A 21949-nucleotide genomic window follows, 5' to 3' on the forward strand; every position below is an offset into this window, starting at 1 on the left:
TATACCATATTTTATTTATTTATCAATTAATGGATGTATGGGCTGTTACCATTTTTTTATTATCATGAGTCATGCTCCTATAAACATCCATGTACAAGTTTTTGTGTGGGCATATGTTTTCACTTCTCTTGTATATATACCTAGGAGTGGAATTGCTGACTCATGACTATGTTTAACTTTTTGAAGAACTACCAGACTGTTTTCCAAAACAGCTTTACCATTTTACATTTCATTTATTTGTATTTGAATACATTTATTTGAAATTTGTAAAACAATCATTTTACTACCAGTCACCAGAAAGCATACCAATTGTTTTAATTTAATTTTTTTTTTTTTTTCTGATACAGAGTCCCAGTTTGTCGCCCAGGCTGGAATGCAGTGGTGCAATCTTGGCTCACTGCAACCTCCACATCCTGGGTTCAAGGGATTCTCATGCCTCAGCCTCCCGAGTAGCTGGGACTACAGGCACACAGCACCATACCCGGCTAAGATTGTTTTAATTTTAATCAACTAAGTTGTAAATTAATAAGTAGTCAACAATGACGAAATTGCCTTTTAATGTCTCTCATATTCTATTGTAATGTTTTTGTTGCTGATTACAACTTATGAAATTAAATTTTGGAATCACAGTCTCTAGTATCAGCTGAATTGCAGCCCGTGTCAAGTGTTTTGCAATACTGGCTAAGGTACTAAGAAACTAATTTTTTTTTTCTGTTTTTTGTAACTGTAAGCAAATTTCTATATTCTTATGGCTAAGAGAATATTTTTTTCTTTTAGGAACATTTAAAGCAGCTTTATTTTATCTTTTTTATTTCTTTTTTTTTTTTTTCTTTTTTTTTGAGACAGAGTCTCCCTCTGTTGCCCAGGCTGGGGTGCAGCAGCCCAATCTCGGCTCACTGCAAGCTCCTCCTCCCAGGTTCATGCCATTCTCCTGCCTCAGCCTCCCCAGTAGCTGGGACTACAGGCGCCCGCCACTGCGCCTGGCTAATTTTTTGTATTTTTAGTAGAGACGGGGTTTCACTGTGTTAGCCAGGATGGTCTCGATCTCCTGACCTCGTGATCTGCCCGCCTCGGCCTCCCAAAGTGCTGGGTTTACAGGCGTGACCTACCGCGCCTGGCCTATCTTTTTTACTTCAGTAGTTTTTGGGGAACAGGTGGTATTTGGTTACATGGATAATTTCTTGAGTGGTGATTTCTGAGATTTTGATGCATCCATCAACCAAGCAGTGTCCACTCTACCCACTGTGTAGTGTTTTATCCCTCACCCACCTCTCACTCTTCCCACCAAGTCCCCGGAGTCCATTGTATCATTCTTATGCCTTTACGTCCTCATAGCTTAGCTCCCACTTATAAATGAGAACATACAATGTTTGGTTTTCCATTCCTGAGTTTCTTCACTTAGAATAACTGTCTCCAACTCTGTCTAGGTTGCTGTGAATGCCATTATTTTGTTCCTTTTTATGGCTGAGTAGAATAAACATATATATATGTATGTATATGTATAAATATATATGTATGTATATGTATAAATATATACGCACACACACATACATACCACATTTTCTTTATTCACTTGTTGATTGTTGGCTTTTTGGCTGTTTCCATATTTTTCCAGTTGCAAATTGTACTGCTGTCAACATGCGTGTGCAAGTGTCTTTTCATATAATGACTTCTATTTCCTCTGGATAGATACCTCGTAGTGGGATCGCTAGATCAAATGGTAGACCTACTTTTAGTTCTTTAAGGAATCTCCATACTGTTTTCCATAGTGGTTGTACTACTTTATATTTCCACAAGCAGTGTAAAAGTGTTCCCTTTTCACCACATCCACACCAACATCTATTTTTAAAAATTTTTTAATTATGGCCATTCTTGCAGGAGTAAGGTGGTATTGCATTGTGGTTTTGATTTGCATTTCCCTGATAATGATGTTGAGCATCATTTCCTATGATTGTTGACCATTTGTATATCTTCTTTTGAGAGTCATCTATTCATGTCCTTAGCCCACTTTTCACTTTTTTATGGGATTTTTTTTTCTTGCTGATTTGTTTGAACTTGTTGTAGATTCTAGATATTAGCCCTTTGTCAGATGCACAGTTTAGGAAAGTTTTCTCCAACTCTGTGGGTTGTCTATTAACTCTGCTGATTCTTTTGTGGTGCAGAAGTTTTTTAGTTTAATTAAGTCCCATCTATTTATCTTTGTTTTTGTTGCATTTGCTTTTAGGTTCTTTCAGTTCATGAAGTCTTTGCTTATGCCGATGTCTAGAAGAGTTTTTCTGATGTTATCTTCTAGAATTTGTATGGGTTTAGGTCTTAGATTTAAGTCTCTGATTCACCTTGAATTGATTTTTGTATAAGATGAGAGATGAGGATCCAGTTTCATTCTCCTACTTGTGGCTTGCCAATTATCCCAGCACCATTTGTTGAATAGGGTGTCCTTTCCCCACCTTATGTTTTTTTTGCTTTTTCGAAGATCAGCTGACTGTCAGTATTTGGTTTTATTTCTGGGTTCTCTATTCTGTGCCATTGGTCCATGTACATGTTTTTATGCCAATACAATACTGTTTTGGTGACCTCATAGTCCTTATAGTGTAGTTTGAAGTTGGTTAATGTGATGTCTCCAGCTTTGTTCTTTTTGCTTAGTCTTGCTTTGGCTATGCAGGCTCGCTTTGGGTTCCATATGAATTTTGGATTTTTTTTTCTAGTTCTGTGAAGAATGATGATGGTGAAATGGGAATTGCATTGAACTTGTAGATTGCTTTTGGCAGTATGGTCATTTTCACAATATTGATTCTAGCCATCCATGAGCATGGAATATGTTTCCATTTGTTTTTGTCATCTATGATTTCTTTCGGCAGTGTTTTGTAGTTTTCCTTGTAGAGGTCTTTCACCTTTTGGGTTAGGCATATTCCCAAGTATTGTATTGTATTATATTTTGTTTTATTTTATTTTATTTTCACAGCTGTTGTGAAAGGAGTTGAGTTCTTGATTTCTTTTTTTTTTTTTTGAGACAGCGTCTTGCTCTGTCGCCCAGGCTGGTGTGTAGTGGCGCAATCTTGGCTCACTGCAACCTCCGCCTCCCGGGTTCAAGCAATTCTTCTGCCTCAGCCTCCCGAGTAGCTGGGACTAAAGGCACGTGCCACCACACCGGCTACTTTTTTGTATTTTTAGTAGAGACGGGGTTTCACTGTGTTAGCCAGGATGGTCTTGACCTGACCTTGTGATCTGCCTACCTCGGCCTCCCAAAGTGCTGGGATTACAGGCATGAGCCACCGCGCCCGACCGAGTTCTTGATTTCTTTTCAGCTTGGTTGCTGTTGGTATATAGCGGTGCTACTGATTTGTGTACATTGATTTTGTGTCCTGAAACTACTGAATTTATTTATAAGATCTAGGAGTTTTCTGGTTGAGTCTTCAGGGTTTCCTAGTTATATGATCATATCAAGAGCAGACAGTGACAGTTTGACTTCCTCTTTACTGATGTAGATGCCCTTTATTCATTTCTTTTTTCTGATTGCTCTAGCTAGGACTTCTAGTGCTGTGTTGAATAGAAGTGGTGAGAGTGGGCATCCTTGTCTTGTTCCAGTTCTTAGGGGGAATGCTTTCAACTTTCCCCTGTTCAGTATAATGTTGGCTGTGGGTTTGTCATAGATAGCTTTTATTACCTTAAGATATGTCTCTTCTGTGCTGATTTTGCTGAGGGTTTTAATCATAAAAGGATGCTGGATTTTGTCAAATGCTTTTTCTGCATCTATTGAGATGATCATATGAGTTTTGTTTTTAATTCCGTTTATGTGGTGTATCACGTTTATTGACTTGTGTATGTTCACTCATCCCTGCATCTCTGCTATAAAACCCACTTGATCATGGAGGATCTTTTTGATATGCTGCTGGATTTGGTTGGCTAATTTTTTTTTGAGGATTTTTGCCTCTAAGTTCATTAGGGATGTTGGTCCATAGTTTTCTTTTTTTTGTTATGTTCATTCCTGGTTTTGGTATTAGGGTGATACTGGCTTCATAGAATGATTTAAGGAAGATTCCCTCTTTCTCTATCTTTTGGAATAGTTTCAGTAAGATCAGCAGCAGAGGCTGCCATCTCCCCCATTGAACATAACTTCTTTGGCCTGAAACCACCCCTTCCATCACCCACATTGGCCATAGCCAGCCCCATACAAGAGGAGTCTGAGCTGAGACACGCCTAACCCTGCCCCGACCTGATGGTCTTTCTCTACCCGCCTCGTAGCCAAAGACAAAAGACATAAACTTGTGGCAGGCCTATGGCCTCACCAATCACCTGAGAAACCCAAATATTTATTCAGGTGACCTTAGGGCAAGCTTGTATCCCCCCATACTACTGCAGCTGATGCCCTCTTGAAAGTGCCACCTCCTAGCTGGAGGCCAACCAACACAAACCATTACAGCAATTCATAACAGAACAATCCTGCTCCAAGGGAAGGAGAAAACAACAGCTAATTCCACTGCCTGTAACATCCACACTAACCAGAGGCCCTGACTCTGTTCACATGACAGCTTCACTGCCAGCATAACCAGCATTCAAGAAAACCAGTGCACGAAACAAAACTACAACCAAGAACTCTCACAGAATCCACTTCACTCTTCAGCTACCTCCACCAGAGCAGGTGCTGGTATCCACAGCTGAGACCCTAAAGACAGATCACTTCGCAGGACTCTTCGCAGACCCTCCCAAGTACAAGCCCAGAGCCCGGTAGCTCTGGTGGGTGGCTAGACCCAGAACAGCAATAACAATCACTGCAGTCTGGCTCTCAGGAAGCCCCATCTCTAGGGAAAGGGAGAGAGCACCACATCAAGGGATCACCTCATGGGACAAACGAATCTGAACAGCAGTCCTTGAGTCTCAGATCTTTCTTCTGTCATAGTCTACCCAAATGAGAAGGAACCAGTAAAACAATTCTGGTAATATGAGAAGACAAGGTTCTGTAACATCCCCAGAAGATCACACTAGTACCAGCAGTGGATCCAAACCAAGAAGAAATCTCTGAATTGACAGAAAAAGAATTCAGAAGGTCAGTTATTAAGTTACTGAAGGAGCCAGCAGAGAAAGGTGAAAACCAACTTAAAGAAATTTAAAATACAGGATATGGATGAAAAAAATCTCCAGAGAAATATGTAGCATAAATAAAAAAACAGTCACAACTTCTGGAAATGAAAGACACACTTTGAGAAATGCAAAATACATTGGAAAGTTTCAACGATAGAATCAAACAAGCAGAAGAAAGAACTTCAGAGCTCTAAGACAAGGCTTTCAGAATAACCCAATCCAACAAAGACCAAAAAAGAATTAAAAAAAAAAAAAAGCACAAAGGCTCCAAACAGTTTGAGATTCTGTTAAATGGCCAAACCTAAGAATAATGGGTGTTCCTGAGGAAGAAGACAAACCTGTAAGTTTGGAAAATGTATTTGAGGGAATAATCAAGGAAAACTTCCCTGGCCTTGCTAGAGATGTAGACATCCAAATATAAGAATGTCATGGCTGAGCACGGTGGCTCACACCTGTAATCCCAGCACTTTGGGAGGCCGAGGTGGGCGGAACATGAGGTCAGGAGTTCAAGAGCAGCCTGGCCAATAAGGTAAAACCTTGTCTCTACTAAAAATACAAAAATCCGCTGGGCATGGTGGCACGCACCTGTAGTCCCAGCAACTTGGGAGGCTAAGGCAGAAAAATCACTTGAACCTGGGAGGTGGAGGTTGCAGTGAGCTAAGATCATGCCACTGCATTCCATCCTGGGTGACAGAGTGAGACTCCATCTCCAAAAAAAAAAAAAAAAAAAAGAAAAGAAAAGAAAGAATGTCAAAGATTACAACTGGGAAATGCATCACAAAAAGATCATCACTTAGGCATAGTCATAAGATTATCTAAAGTCAAGACAGAGGAAAGAATCTTAAGAGCTATGAGGCAAAAGCATCAGGTAACCTATAAAGGAAAACCTATCAGATCAATAGCAGATTTCTTAGCAGAAACCCTACAAGCTAGAAGGAATTGGAGTCCTACCTTTAGACTCCTTAAAATAATTATCAGCCAAGAATTTTGTATCCATTGAAACTAAGCTTCATAAATGAAGCAAAGATAAAGTCATTTTCAGAGAAATGCTGAGAGAATTCACCACTACCAAGGCAGCACTACAAGAGCAGTTAAAGGGAGTTCTAAATCTTGAAACAAAACCTCAAAATACACCAAAGTAGAAACTCCTTAAATCATAAATCTCACAGGGCCTATAAAACAACACAATGGAAATGAAAAACTAAGGTATTCAGGCAATAACTAGCACAATGAATAGAACAATACCACATATCTCAATACTAACATTGAATATAAACAGCCCAAATGCTCCACTTAAATATACAGAATAACGGAATGGATAAGAATTCACCAACCAAGTATCTCCCATCTTCAAGTGACTCACCTAATGCATAAGGTCTCACATAAACTTAAGGTAAAAGGGTGGAAAAAGTTATTCCATGCAAATGGTCCCAAAAGCAAGTAGGAGTAGCTATTCTTATATTAGACAAAACAGACTTTAACAACAATTGAAAAAGACAAAGAAGGACATTATGTAATGATAAAAGGACTAATCAAACAGGAAAATATCACAGTACTAAATCTATATGCACCTAACACTAGAGCTCCCAAATGTAAAAAACAATTACCACTAGACCTAACAAATGAGATAGACAGCAATACAATTAATAGTGGGGGACTTCAATACTCCATTGACAGCACTAGACGGGTCAGAAAGTCAACAAAGAAACAATGGATTTAAATTATACCCTAGAACAAATGGACTCAACAGATATTTATAGAACATTCTACCCAACAACTGCAGAATATACATTCTGTTCATCAGCACATGGGACGTCCTGCAAGACAGACCATATGATAGGCCACAAAACAAGTCTCAATAAATTTAAGAAAATCAAAATTATATCAAGTATTCTCAGACCACAGTGGAATAAAACTGGAAATCAACTCCAAAAGGAACCTTAAAAACCATGCAGATACATGGAAATTAAATAATTTGCTCCTGAATGATCTTTAGGTCAACAATGAAATCAAGATGGAAATTTAAAAATTCTTTGAACTGAACAATAATAATGACACAACCTATTAAAACCTCTGGGATACAGCAAAAGCAGTGCCTAGAGGAACATTCAGAGCATTAAGTGCCTACATCAAAAAGTCTGAAAGAACACAAATAGACAATCTAACGTTACACCTCAAGGAACTAGAGCAACAAGCACAAACAAAACCCAAACCCACCAAAAGAAAAGGAAATTACAAACATCAGAGCAGAACTAAATTAAATTGAAACAAAAAATTGAAAGATAAATGAAGCAAAAAGCTGGTTCTTTGAAAAGATAAACAAAATTGATAGACCAATAGCAAGATTAATCAAGAAAAGAAGAGAAAAGATCCAAATAAGCTCAATTAGAAACAAAATGGGAGATACTACAACCAATACCACAGAAATACAAAAGACCAAGCTTACAGTGAGCACCTTTACACGCACAAACTAGAAAACTTAGAGGAGACGGATAGATTCCTGGAAATATACAATCCTAGATTAAAGTAGGAAGAAATAGAAACTCTGAACAGACCATTAACGAGCAGTGAGATTGAAATGGTTAAAAAAAAAAAATTGCCAACAAAAAGTCCAGGACCAGATGGAGCCACAGCTGAATTCTATCAGACTTTCAAAGAATTGGTACTGTTTTACATTTCTATGTAATATAATAAGAGCAGCATATGAGCAGCATGTGAGGGTTCCAGTTTTTCACATCCTCACTTGTTATTATCTCTTTTTCTATTATAGCCATTCCTAATGGGTATGAAGCGGTGTCTCACTATGGTTTTGATTTGTATTTGTTTGATGGCTAATGATGTTGAGGTTCCTTTCATATGCTTATTGGCCATATTCTTTGGGGGAAATGTTTACTTAGTTCATTTGCTCATTTTTTAAACTAGATTGTTTTTGATTACTGAGTTGTAACATTTCCTTATATATGCTAGATAGAGGTGTCATCAGATACATGATTTGTAAAAATTTTCCCTTGTTCTATGAATTCTATGAATTATCTTTTCATTTTCTTGGTGTCTTTGGAAGCATAAAAGTTTCCAATTTTGATTTTGTCCAGTTTTTCTATTTTTCTTTTGTTGCTCTTGCTTTTAGTGTCATATCTAAGAAACCAATGCCTAATCCAAGGTCATAAAGACTATGTCTATGTTTTCTTCTAAGAGTTTGGTAATTTAGTTCTTACATTGAGATCTTTGATCCATTTCAAGTTAATTCTGTGTATGATGTGAGGTAGGAGTCCCTTAGCTTCTGCATATGCACTTTTCCCAGCACCATTTATTGAAAATACTCTTCTTTCCCCATTTAATTACCTTAGCACCCTTATCAAAAATCGGTTAGCTATAGATATATGGTCATATTTCTGGACTCACAATTTTAGTCCATTGATATATATGTCTATCCCTATGCCTATACTACATTGTTTTGTTATGGTAGCTTTAGAGTAAGTATAACTGCTTTATGTTAAAATATTAACCTATATAATCTTCTGCCAGTGGTAGGTTTTCCCTTATTTTCTCATTTTTGAGACTAATTTTCCAACTTAATTTGGCTTATAGAAACCTACAAAAAGTATTGTTAAATATTTTTCATTTTCTTAATACTGCAAATCAAACTCAAAGGAAAGTTGGGAGGGGGTGTGCTGTTTAACTCAGGCAACTAGTGTTCTCAGAATATACCTGGGCTCCAAATATGAATCAGTAAAAAAGATCTATGCTTGGCGCAGTGGCTCGCGCCTGTAATCCCAGCACTTTGGGAGGCTGAGGCAGGTGGATCTCGAGGTCAAGAGATCGAGACCATCATGGCCAACATGGTGAAACCCCGTCTCTACTAAAAATACAAAAATTAGCTGGGCATGGAGGCGCGTGCCTCTAGTCCCAGCTATTCGGGAGGCTGAGGCAGGAGAATCGCTTTTTCCCGGGAGGCAGAGATTGCAGTGAGCCGAGATCGCACCACTGAACTTCAGCCTGGTGGCAGAGCGAGACCCCGTCTCAAAGAAAAAAAAAAAAAGATCTAGACAAGATTCTTCCTCTCTAAATTTATAGTATTGTCCTCATAATAGGATATGCTATTTTTCGATATTTATGCAATTTGTAAAAGATATCCTAATGTCATCGTCAGTTATAGTATTGTCCTTAGAATAAGACATATTATTTTTAGATATTGTTTATGCAACTTGGAAAAGATATCTAACCTCCCCATCAATTGTTTTTATTGAATGTCTATATTTCCTTCATAAATTCATTAAAAATATTTTCAACAGGTTAACAGATACAAAAGAAAAGATAAATCAGTTTATTGAAGAAATTAGACAACTTGACATGGATTTAGAGGAACACCAAGGTATGCTTCTGGTATTTTTATAATGTAGATTAACAGATGTTTAGCAGTATTAATATAGTGTTAACTGGTGTCTCAGAGACTGTTCAACTACCTGGGATTTATTATTTAATTCTCTATGATATTACTAACTTTACTAAAATATATACTGTATGAGTAATATTAAAGCAATGATTTAAACTGACCACTTATGAGTTAAAATGATTGCATAAAATTTATTTAGCTTTGCCAAGCAGTTTGTTTTTTTTTTTACAAAAACAGAAGTAAAATGTTTAAAGTTGTTAGAGATTCCTAAGTTATACTTCCTCCTAAGTTACACTTCCTTCCTAGTAATAGTCAATAGTTTACTATAAACAATATAGTCGGCCGGGTGTGGTGGCTCACGCCTGTAATCCCAGCATTTTGGGAAGCTGAGGCGGGCAGATCATCGGAGGTCGGGAGTTCGAGACCAGCCTGACCAACATGGAGAAACCACATCTCTACTAAAAATACAAAAATTAGCCGGGCGTGGTGGCACAGGCCTGTAATCCCAGCTATTCGGAAAGGCTGAGGCAGGAGAATCACTTGAACTCGGAGGCAGAGGTTGCGGTGAGTCAAGATCGCACCACTGCACTCCATCCTGGGCCACAAGAGTGAAACTCGGTCTCAATAAATAAATAAATTAATTAAATAATAATAATATAGTCAACTACTAATGGCAGTAACTGGTAGCGTTAGAGGGGATGAAAATCAAATCACAAATACCACACAAATAATCCAGACAGAATTAATTCCCCACCCAGGTCTAGTAATGAAGTAGCAAAGACTGATTAACCTTATCCTCCCCAACTTTCCCCAGGAGTGGAATTTGAAGAACTAATGCAGGTACCAGAACACCTGAGGGAGCTTGGGGTTTGACTATGTAGAAATACTGTGGTGGGGGTTTGGGTGTGGGGGCTACATTGTTATTTATGGTTAAAGGAGGAGGTTGAGCATCAGTTTCCTAACAAGCTTCTCCCTAATAAGAAAGATAAAAGTAGATTCTCCATAGCATTTTAATCATAGTTTAACTGCAAACCAGTTACTATGCTCTTGGATTATCAAGAATTGATTGTATATTCTTATGAGTTAGGTATGGTATAAACAGTGTGCACATGTACATGTATTCTTGTTATGGCTAAGGAAACATTCATAGCGGTGCAGTGGCTCAATCACAGCTCACTGCAACCTCAGACTCTTGGGTTCAAGTGATCCTCCTGTCTCAGCCTCCTGAGTAGCTGGGAATATATAACGTCTGCCACTACATCCAGCTAAGTTTTAAATTTTTAGTAGTGGCGCATGCCTGTAATCTCAGCTACTTGGGAGGCTGAGGCAGGAGAATGGCTTGAACCCAGGAGGCGGAGGTTGCAGTGAGCCAAGATCACACCACTGCACTCCAGCCTGGGTGACAGAGCAAGACTCCGTCTCAAAAAAAAAAAAAAAAAAGGGTACACTGTTCTATATTTTAGCAGGGAAGGAATTTGTGTATGTGTGTGCTAACTAGAAACAATGAGAAATAGCTCTAATGAAAGTTATATGGTCAGAATTTGGCTACAAGCTCTGCATCATTAGTAAAGCGGAGTATTATTGGCAGATGTCATGCTACTTTCCAAAAAGCCTGAACCCATCCTGATTTCTCCTTTCTTAGTTGAAATGCCAACAATTGCATATTTGCTTAATTATTGCTTTTTAAAATATTGGCTCTGTATAAGCAAGGGAAAGTAATAGAAAAAGTATTGTTCTTCCAAGTAAAGCAGAACACACCAAGTGGACAATAGCAGCTTATATTTTCACTCAACATGGGATACTATTTTTAATAAGGATGTTTTTATCCTCAAGGCTTACTTCTAACATATAGCCAAGTGACTTTTTTGTTTTTAAATGGAGATGAATCTTGCTGTGTTGGCCAGGCTAGAGTGCAGTGACTATTTACAGGCATGATCATAGCTTACTGTGGCCTTGAACTCCTGGGCTCAAGCAGTCCTACTGCCTCAGCCTTCCAAGTAGCCGGGACTACAGGTCCATGTTACTGTGCCCAGCTTGTTTTTGTTAAGGAATCTGTTAAGAAATTCTTTTAGGTCGTGTGCGGTGGCTCACGCCTGTAGTCCCAGCACTTTGGGATGCCGAGGTGGGCGGATCACCAGGTCAGGAGATCGAGACCACGGTGAAACCCTGTCTCTACTAAAAAATACAAAAAATTAGCCGGGCCTGGTGGTGGGCGCCTGTAGTCCCAGCTACTCAGGAGGCTGAGGCAGGAGAATGGTGTGAACCCAGGAGGCGGAACTTGCAGTGAGCCAAGATCGCGCCTCTATGCTCCAGCCTGGGTGACAGAGCGAGACTCCGTCTTAAAAAAAAAAAAGAAATTCTTTTATTCTTACTACAGATTAATACTTGAGAGTTTATATCTTATATTGAAGTCCTTCAGAGTAAATAGTTTCTTCGACCACTTAGCTGAAATCAGGCCCTTAACTTTACTCATTTTTTTTTTTTTTTTTAATGAGATAGGGTCTTTCTGTCACCCAGGCTGGAGTACAGTGGTGTGACAACATAGCTCACTGCAGCCTCAAACTCCTGGGCTCAAGTGATCCTCTTGCCTTAGCTAAATAAAATAATAAATAAAATAAAATAAAATAAAATAAAATAAAATAAAATAAAATAAAATAAATAAAATAAAATGTAAAATAAAATAAAATAAAATGTAAAATAAACTCCTGAGTAGCTAGGACTACAGGTGCACACCACCATGCCCAGCTAATTGTTGAAAACTTTTTTTGTAGGGACAGGGTTTTGCTCTGTTGCCCAGGCTGATCTCAACGTGCTTGGCTCTAGCAGTCTTTCTGCCTTGGCCTCCTAAAGTGTGGGGATTACAGGTGTGAGCCACTGTGCCTGGTGTTTTACTCTTTACTAGTGTATTCCCTTACATTGAATAAATTCTATAAAGAACAGCATTACTATTATAAGACATGTCAAAGCCTTACACAAATCACAAAAAAAGTGATCAGTTTTCTATGCAAAAATACTGAGCCTTTTGAAATCAGGGTAGTTCTCAGCTTCACCCAATGCTGGCTTAGATTTCAACTTTCTCAAGTCTGCTAGGTCAGTTACCAGTTCTCCATCTCCTTTCAGCTTCCAAAATGTTATTGCTGTTGTCTCCTATTTCTATATGCTGGGGGTTTCTACCTTTAAAAATTCTTTTTGCTATAGTTTTAGTGGGGTTTGCGGGAGGATCAAAATTAGATGTGCATGTTCAACGTGCCATTCATACCAGGAAATGACAATTATAAGCCTTAATTACCTAGAATTTCTGAAACTTTAAGCACCTTGAAGGTAGATCATTTTACTTATTTTTAAAAAGATTTTTTTTGTGTGTTTTGCCTTAAATGACCATCCTCATGCTTTCATTAACTGGGCAATTAGCCTCAGCTTATAGGAGGTCATCCTTTTCAGCTTAAAAAAAAAGTGTCCTGGCCGGGTGCAGTGGCTCACGCCTGTAATCCCAGCACTTTGGGAGGCTGAGGCAGGCGGATCATGAGGTCAGGAGTTCGAGACCAGCCTGACCAACATGGTGAAACCCCATCTCTATTAAAAATACAAAAATTAGCTAGGCATGGTGGTGTGTACCTGTAATCCCAGCTACTCAGGAGGCTGAAGTAGGAGAATCGCTTGAACTCGGGAGGCAGAGGTTGCAGTAAGCCAAGATCGCGCCACTGCACTCCAGCCTTGGGCGACAGAGCAAGACTCCATCTCAAGAAAAAAAAGAAAAAAAAAAGTCTTTTAAACTACTTAAAATTATTTTAAAGATTCAGATTAATTTTTTAAAATTGTAATTTTAAATATGAATCTGGCATGTATTTAACATGAAAAATGCAAGCAGAAAAGTATATAAAGTAAAATGTCATCTCCTTTCTCCTCATCCAAGTCTTCAGAGGTAATCATGGTTTACAGTTTAATGTTTAGGCTTTTAGACTTTTAATACATTGATAAACATATTTTTAAATGGAGTAATACTAATATACAGTTCTTCTGAGCTTGAGTCTTTTCATTTAACTGTATAATATACATTCTTCCCTATGAGGATGTATACTTCATTCTGAGAAATGGTATAGCATAGTGGTCAATGTTAGGGCTCTAAAGTCAGACTTAAGAATGGTGCCTGGTACAGGTGTGGTGGCTCATGCCTATAATCCTAGCACTTTGGGAGGCTGAGGGGGGTGGATTGCTTGAGCTCAGAAGTTCGAGACCAGCCTGGGCAACAGGGCGAAAACCTGTCTCTACAAAAAAATACAAAAATTAGCCAGGCATGGTGATGTGTGTTTGACTTGTAGTCCCAGCTATTTGCTAAGGTAGGATGATTACTTGAACCTCGGAAGTCGAGGCTGCAGTAAGCCGAAATCACTCCAACCAAAATCATGCCACTGCACTTCAGCCTGGATAACAAAGTGAGACCCTGTCTCAAAAAAAAAAAAAAAAAAAAATGGTGCCTGGTGCACATTAAGCGCTTCTGACAACCATTAGCTACCCCTATGATTGTTGTTACATAGGATTCATTGTATCCACATTGATATTTAGGCTGTTTCTAATTTTTTACTCCCAAGAACAGTGCTGCACTAGTACATTCATGTTTATAACTTGTCTGTTTATTTCCACAGAATAAATTTCTAGAAGTGAAATTTTGAATGGAATATTATTTATATTTACAACTGGTTTGCAAATTTCTTCCCAGAAAAGGTTGTATTATGTTATACAACCAAAAGCAGTATGTGAAGGTGGTTCCTTACCAATGCTAGCCATAAGTTTTTTAGTTTTTGTCAGTCAAGATAAGGTACACATCACTGACAGTTCCGAAGTTTTGACTGTTAGGCCTGAATTTGTAGTACCACCGCGATCCACAAGATGGGGCTAATTTTCTGAGCATCTATTAATATATACACAGTAGGATTGACAAATAGAGTTAACAAATGTTGTACGGTCACTGTCATATGTCTCTCCAGGAGGGATTATTGGGCATTATTACTCACCAAAAATGATTACTTTCCAGATTCAAGTATTTTCCCAAATGTGGAGTTGATTGTAAAACCAAATATATGATTATTAAAATACCATAATACATATAAATAACTAGTTGCTACAATGTGGTAAATATGTCATAATAGAAATATATGCAAAGTGCTATAGGAATATTGAATTACTGTCTTAAATTCTGAATGAATTCATTGTAACTTTCTGCATAATATATATGTGTCATTCAAAGTAGTAAAATAACAAAATATAATACTTTGGTTTGTCTATAGTATACTTTTTCATACTCAGAGTTCTAAAGCCTTGGTTAGGACCATTGTTTCTTTAATTATGGAGGGTAAAATAAACAATGTTAAAGACAGAATACTTTTATTTATTATTTATTTGTTTATTTATTTATGTATTTTGAGACGGAGTTTTTCTCTTGTGGCCCAGGCTGGAGTAAAATGGTGTGATCTTGACTTACCGCAACCTCCACCTCTCAGGTTCAAACAATTCTCCTACCTCAGCCTCCCAAGTAGCTGGGATTACAGGCATGCGCCACCACACCTGGCTAATTTTTTGTATTTTTAGTAGAGATGGGGTTTCTCCATGTTGGTCAGGCTGGTCTCAAACTCCTGACCTCAGGTGATCTGCCTGCCTTGGCCTCCCAAAGTGTTGGGATTACAGGCGTGAGCCACCACGCCTGGCCAGAATCATTTTATTTTAAGCACATGTCCTGTTACTAGAATGCCTGGATTCAAATCCAGGCTGTGCTGTTTGATCTTGGACATGCTATTTATGCTATTTAATCTTACTTTATCTTAGTTTTTTTTCTTTAAAATGGAGGTAATTACAGTACCTACCTCTTAGGGTTATTGTGAGAATTAGATTAGATAATTAAATAAACTTAATTATTAATAGTCTAATGTTGGCTGGAAGCCTTACCAATAACATAAATGGTAAACATATATAAACACAAAACACATTCATAATAGCAGTCAATTTAAAATATGCTCATAAATATTAATTAGTGACTTATTGTTAATGCTGTTACTTTATAAAAGCAAAATTGAATAACTTTACTGCAGTTATTTTCCCAAAGCATACATTAGAAAGTATTTTCCCGTCAGTATTTCCTTCAGGATGTACAAAATAACCTATTTAGTTTCAAAGTGGTTTATCTTCTGGTATCTGAGATTTCAAATGGCATCTATCCATTACTATTCTGTGGTTTTCCAACATATATCTGCTGAAGAAGAATGAATTATTATTGTTCAATCTAGAAATTGTTTAAACTATACATTGAATCTTTCATTAAAATGGTGGTATTACATCTACACCAGGATCATCACCACCATCTGAAACTTGTTAGAAATGCAAATTCTTGGGCTCTACCCCAGACCTATTGAATTTGAAACCCTAAGGAGAGGGCTCAGCAATTTGTGTTTCAGTAAGTCCTCCTGGTGATTCTGATTCATGTTAAAGTTTTATAACCACTACTTTCGAAAATGATTAAGGACCATATGTTTAGTATATGCTGCTTACTACCAATTATACTGTATGATTTTATATACAGTACTCTGTTGGAACAAACTTCTACATAGTCCTTTTGTTTTACATAATTAGATAATAAAAATTATACAATTTATACAATATGTAAAAATTATAATTACAGTTTTTAAAGTGCCTCCTGTCTTTAGAAATAGAATTATCTGATCTTGTTTGCATACCTGTAATTTAAAATTTAAAATGTAGTTGACCCTTCAAGACAGCATTGGGATTAGGGGCACTGAGTGTGCCATGCAGTCAAAAATCCATGTATAACTTTTGACTCCATAAAAACTTAATTATCAAAGGTCTACTGTTGGCTGGAAGCCTTACCAATAACATAAACAGTTAACACTATTTTGTATGTATTATATACTGTATTCTTACAATAAAGTAAGCTAGAGAAAAGAAAATGTTATTAAGAGAACTATAAAGATTTTTATTATTTTCCACTTACTAATGAAATGGAAGTAGGTCATTATAAAGGTCTTCATCCTCATTGTCTTCACATTGAGTAGACTGAGGAAGAGGAGGAAGAGTTTGGTCTTGCTATCTCAGGGGTAGCAGAGGCAGAAGAAAATCTGCATGTAAGTAGACCCACCAAGTTCAAACCTCTGTTTTTCAAGGGTCAACTGTATTTCCCAGAGAATGTATATTTAGAAAATTGGGTGAAACCTAATGCCAAAGTTAGTTTAAAACATTAAGCTTATATGTACTCTTTTTACCACAGCAATTTTGTAATATAGTCAATTCTTTGTACCCACGGGTTCTTCATCTGCAGATCCTACCAACTATGGATGGAAAATACTTGAAAAAAATACAGGAAGTTTCAAAAAGCAAGTTTGAACCTGCCATGTGCTAAGCACTATGCTGAATCCATTTGAACTGAAGAATACCCTGCTATAGCCTCCCATTGTTTCACAGATCTTCAGTCTCTCTCTAGCACCCACTGTTTGAGCAGTGTTCATCTGGCATTTTATTCATTGGCTACTTGTGTTCACTCTTTGCTTCTGTGAAAAAAAAAAGACTCCTAAAAATCAATTATATGGTGAAAGAAATCCCTTACAGACTAAGAGAGAGCGTAAAGTGCTGTCTCTCAACAAGAAAATAAAATTCTTAGATCTTTTGAAAAGTGGCGTGTGATTTACCAAAGTGACACAATAAAACAGAAGGAAGCTGAAGCTGACATTTGTGGAAGTTTTAGTGCTGCCCCTACAATGGCAAAAAAAATTATTGCTGTGATTCATGATAAAATGCTTGCAGAGACTGGTCGGGCACAGTGGCTCACGCCTGTAATCCCAGCACTTTGGGAGGCTGAGGCGGGTGAATTACCTGAGGTCAGGATTCAGGACCAGCCTGGCCCAAATGGTGAAACCCCGTCTCTACTAAAAAATACAAAAACTTAGCCGGTAGTGGTGGTGGGCACCTGTAATCCCAGCTACTAGGGAGGCTGAGACAGGAGAATTGATTGAACCTGGGAGGCAGAGGTTGCAGTGAGCCAAGATCGTGCCATTGCACTCCAGCCTGGGCAGCAAGAGTGAAATCCCATCTCAAAAAAAAAAAAAAAAAAAGCTTGCAGAGACTAAGAAAACATCAAATGTATGAGTAGACAAAATATCACAGAAGCATGTCCCTGTTGATGGCAAAATTATGTATGAAAAAGCATTTAGCCTTTGTGAGCATTCCTATGAGGAAGTTGAAGAGAGTGAGAGGAAGGAATTTAAGGATAGTAAGGGATGACTAGCTAGCTGTGGAAAGTAGTACAGCCACACGAACTTAAAGATCACAGGAGAATCAGCATTAGCTGATGACCAGGCAGTATCAGCATTCCCAGAAGAGCTCAAGAAACTCAGAAGACAAAGGATACCTTTCATAGCAAGTCTTCAGTTGTGTTGAAAGAAACTTGTTATAGAAGAAGAGGCCTAATACCTACATCCGTAAGAGTGTCAAGCAGGCTTTGGGGTTCAAAGCCTGGAAAGATCGTTTTACTCTGGTGCTATGTGGCAACACAGCAGGTTACATGGTCAAGCCAGGTCTTGTGTACCAAGCAAACAGTCCCTGGGTCCTTAAGAACAAAATCAAAAATTGCCTACCTGTGTTCTGGCAACACAATAGGAAGGCTTGGGTGATGGCCATCTTGTTCCTGGAATTCAGTTTTATTCCTAAAATGAAGAAATACCTGGAAGAGAACAGGGTGCCATTCAAGGTCATCCTCATAATTGACATTACTCACAGCCATCCCTGATCTCTCTACTTCACTAATGACAATGTTGCAGTGATGTTCTTGCCTAAGGCAAGTACTACCTCACTGTTTTAGCCATTTGATCGAGGCATCAGCAAGTGCATTAAATGACTTACACCCACCTCACCTTTGGGAGGATTTGTGCTGTCCTTGATGCTAACCTTGACTACAGTGTCATGGATTTATGGAAGAGCTTTACAATTGCAAATGTAGTTGTGCTTTTTACAGAGGCTGTAGATGCCCCAAAGCCCAAGACAGTCAGTGCATGTTGGAAGCCATTATGGAATGAGGTAGTCAGTGATTTCAGGAGCTTCCCCATTATTGGTGCAGAAGTCAGGAATATGGTTTTGTTTTTGTTTTTGTTTTTTTTGAGTTAGAGTCTCACTCTGTCACCCAGGCTGGAGTGCAATGGCGCGATTTTAGCTCACTGCAACCTCTGCCTCCTGGGTTCAAGCAGTTCTCACGCCTCAGCCTCCTGAGTAGCTGGAATTACAGGCACATGCCACCACGCCTGGCTAATTTTTGTATTTTTAGTAGAGATGGGTTTCACCATATTGCCCAGGCTGCTCTCTTGGCCAGGCTGGTCTCAAACTCCTGACCTCGTGGTCCGCCTGTCTTGGCCTCCCAAAGTGCTGGGATTACAGGCGTGAGCCCACCGCGCCCGGCCCAGGAATATCTTGAATGTTGCAAAGGAAGTTGATGAGGAATGCTTCTCTGACATGATCAAGGGTGACTTCGAGGAACACATAGAAGAGCATAGAGAAACCCTTACCAACAAGGAACTCAAGGTTCTGCTGAAATTCTCTACAGGAGATGATGACAGTGATAACAGATTTAGCAGAAACAGAGTCCTCAATTTGGATACTTGAAAAATTTGCAGCAGTTTTTCAACAGGTGCAAGTGTTAAAGGGTATGATCCTTCAGTGGAACAAAGCCTCCGTGTCACCTGAGGGATAGCAACATGCCTACAAGCACTGCAAGAGTTGTTTGATGCTTCAAGAAAAAAGGAGAAACAGCTTCCTAGAACAATGTTCCCAACTAAAGCCGTCTGTATTATGAAGCCTCGACCTTAAACGCTTGAAGATTCTTCCAGCATAAATGATCTTTCCGATGTCCTGTTAGAAGGTTCAAGTTAGCCTTGTGTTTCACCACTTACCTACAGTGCTGCGCATCTCACCACCTCACCATATGGGCACCATGGGCACCAAATAGAAATTATAATCGTCATCATCGTCAAATGAGGGTTATCAAGAGAGAAAAGCGACAGTTTATGCTTCTTTTTTTTTAATTTTTAAATTTTTTGTAAAGACAGGATTCACTATTTTGCCCAGGCTCGTCTCGAACTCGCAGCCTCAAGCAGTCCTCTTATCTTGGCCTCCCAAAGTATTGGGATCATAGGTGTGAGCCACTGTGCTCAGCCAGAAGAGCCAGAGTTTTGATGCGTCTTAATGTACTCTTTCAGGTCATTAAATGAAAGTCATCTGCAAGTGTTGATAGAAAATGTGGCTGGGCGTGGTGGCTCATGCCTGTAATTCCAACACTGTGGGAGGCTGAGGCAGGAGGATTTCTTGAGGTCAGGAGCTTGAAATCAGCCTGGACAACATAGACCCCATTTCTATTTTTAAAATAAAAATAAAACAAAAAGTGTTACATTGTTGCTGATGTATACTGTGTAGTTTGCCCTACAGTGGTTGCATCTGTACTGAACATGTACAGTCTTATTTTCCTTGTCATTATTCCCTAGACAACACAGTGTAACAACCATTTACAATATATTAGGTATCATAAGTAATCTAGGGATGATTTAAAGTATGTAGCAGGAGGGTATATGTAGGTTATATGCAAATACTGTGCCATTTTATGTAAAAGACTTGAACATCCTCAGGTTTTGTTATCTACAGAGGGGTGGGGGTACTGAAACCAGTCCCCATCAGATACCAAGGAATGACTATTTTATATACTAACTTGCTGCTTACTGTAATAATGGTATGTGAAAAGTAGATGGGAGAGATAGACTGAATGCAAAAAGATGGAATTTTATAGGCCCCCACAACTAATTAAAATTGAAATAGGAGTCAGGGAGGAGAAAGTGTTCTGGCTCACTAAAATATGTGAAAATGTTAGAAGGGGTTTAGATAACTCAATATGAATTAATGTGATACAGCCTTGAAAACGGCTGAAATCCTAGATTGCATAACAAAAAATGGTTATGTAGACTATGGAGAGTGACATCTTCTTGGAATCTTAAGTTTCTTGGCATAATATGTTAAAAGGGTTAGAGAAAAACTAGAGCTCGTTCATAGCAGAGTGACCAGAATGGTAATAGGGATAGAAACCATGCCATATAGAAGATATTGAGGCCAGGTGCAGTGGCTCACGCCTGTAATCCCAGCACTCTGGGAGGCTGAAGTGGGGGGATCACTTGAGGTCAGAAGTTCAAGACCATCCTGGCCAACATAGTGAAACCCTGTCTCTGCTAAAAACAAAAATTAGCTGGGCATGGTGGCGTGTGCCTGTAGCCTCAGCTAGCTGGGAGGCTGAGGTAGGAGAATCGCTTGAACCTGGGAGGCGGAGGTTGCAGCTGAGATTGCACCATTGCACTCCAGCCTGGGCAACAGAACGAGACACTGTCTCAAAAAAAAAAAAAAAAAAAAAAAGAAGGAAAGGTACTGGGAGACTTTGCGTGCTTCAGAAGTATTCCAAGTGCTAAGAAACAGTCTGGCTGTGCAAAAGTCCTGTGGAGTTTTTTCTTGCCCCGTCTCCCTGATTTTGTTTTCTGTTGACCTTTCAACTCCAAAATCAGTAGGCTTTGCTGAGTTGGGGACCTTGAGTTCAGGAGAGTTACTAGTACATGCCTTGTTGTGTATTGATCAGGAGAGAAGATTGGGATAGCCACCTATTTGGAAAATGGTAATCAGACCTTCTTAGGGGCAGAACTACTTCTCAGAGTATAAAAGCCTATAAAGCCTGAGTCAGGAGAACGTCATTTGATGCCAGAGAAGTAAAAGTATGGGGTGAACTTCCCTTGCAGTGAGGACAGAGGTAGTTTTGGTGGTGCTCAGACTATTGGCAGTGCAAGAAGAGCATATCTCCCTTACTGCACTGCTGGCTATAGCAGAGACTATAAAAAAGCAATGGTGTCCTTTCTACAGTAGCCCCAGTCTTTTGTTAACAGCACATACGCATTTCTTCTTTCCTACTTGAGGGATGAAAAAGCCTGAATTTATAGTATACATTTTTGTATACTTGTCTTATTAGAGTATAAATTCTTCAGAGGAAAATATTTTACTTTTTTCTTTAATCCCCATGTTACCCGATAAAGTACCTTGCTGGTATAATTCCTGTGTAAAATCCTCCTGAAGTCTTTTCACGCATCTGGTTACCACAGCACTTCATACATTCCTGTCAGAGCACTTATGTTGCATTATAAATTTTTGGTTTTGTACACCTAATGGAGTGTAAGCCCTTTGAGAATAGGGTGGAAACTGTCTTACTCAGTTTGATATCCCAAAACCTATTACAGTATCTGGCACTTAGTATCTGATAATCAGTAAATTTATCGGAAATAAATAAATGAGTATAGAAGTATGCGCACATCAAATGCTCCGAATTAAAGGATATCTCCAAAATTACCTTCCTTTTACCGTTGTGTCCCTTTCCCTCTCCCTTGGTCTCCTCATTGTTGATTCTAC

The 21949-nt window shown here is 38.7% G+C and overlaps 1 protein-coding gene across 5 annotated transcripts in view; it reads left to right on the top strand.

Moving 5' to 3' along the window:
- IFT74 (intraflagellar transport 74) overlaps positions 1-21949 on the top strand; it is a 119025-nt gene that overhangs the window by 72544 nt on the left and 24532 nt on the right. For 4 of the 5 annotated variants that reach the window (NM_001099223.3, NM_001099222.3, NM_001349928.2 and 1 more), the window contains exon 13: positions 9372-9451. In NM_001099223.3, the coding sequence (NP_001092693.1) occupies positions 9372-9451 (80 nt within the window). Of the gene's footprint in view, positions 1-9371; positions 9452-16796; positions 17148-21949 lie in introns of those variants that run through there. The other variant, NM_001099224.3, reaches the window with a different exon arrangement.

Source organism: Homo sapiens, chromosome 9 (assembly GCF_000001405.40).
Source record: "Homo sapiens chromosome 9, GRCh38.p14 Primary Assembly".
Lineage (NCBI taxonomy): Eukaryota > Metazoa > Chordata > Mammalia > Primates > Hominidae > Homo > Homo sapiens.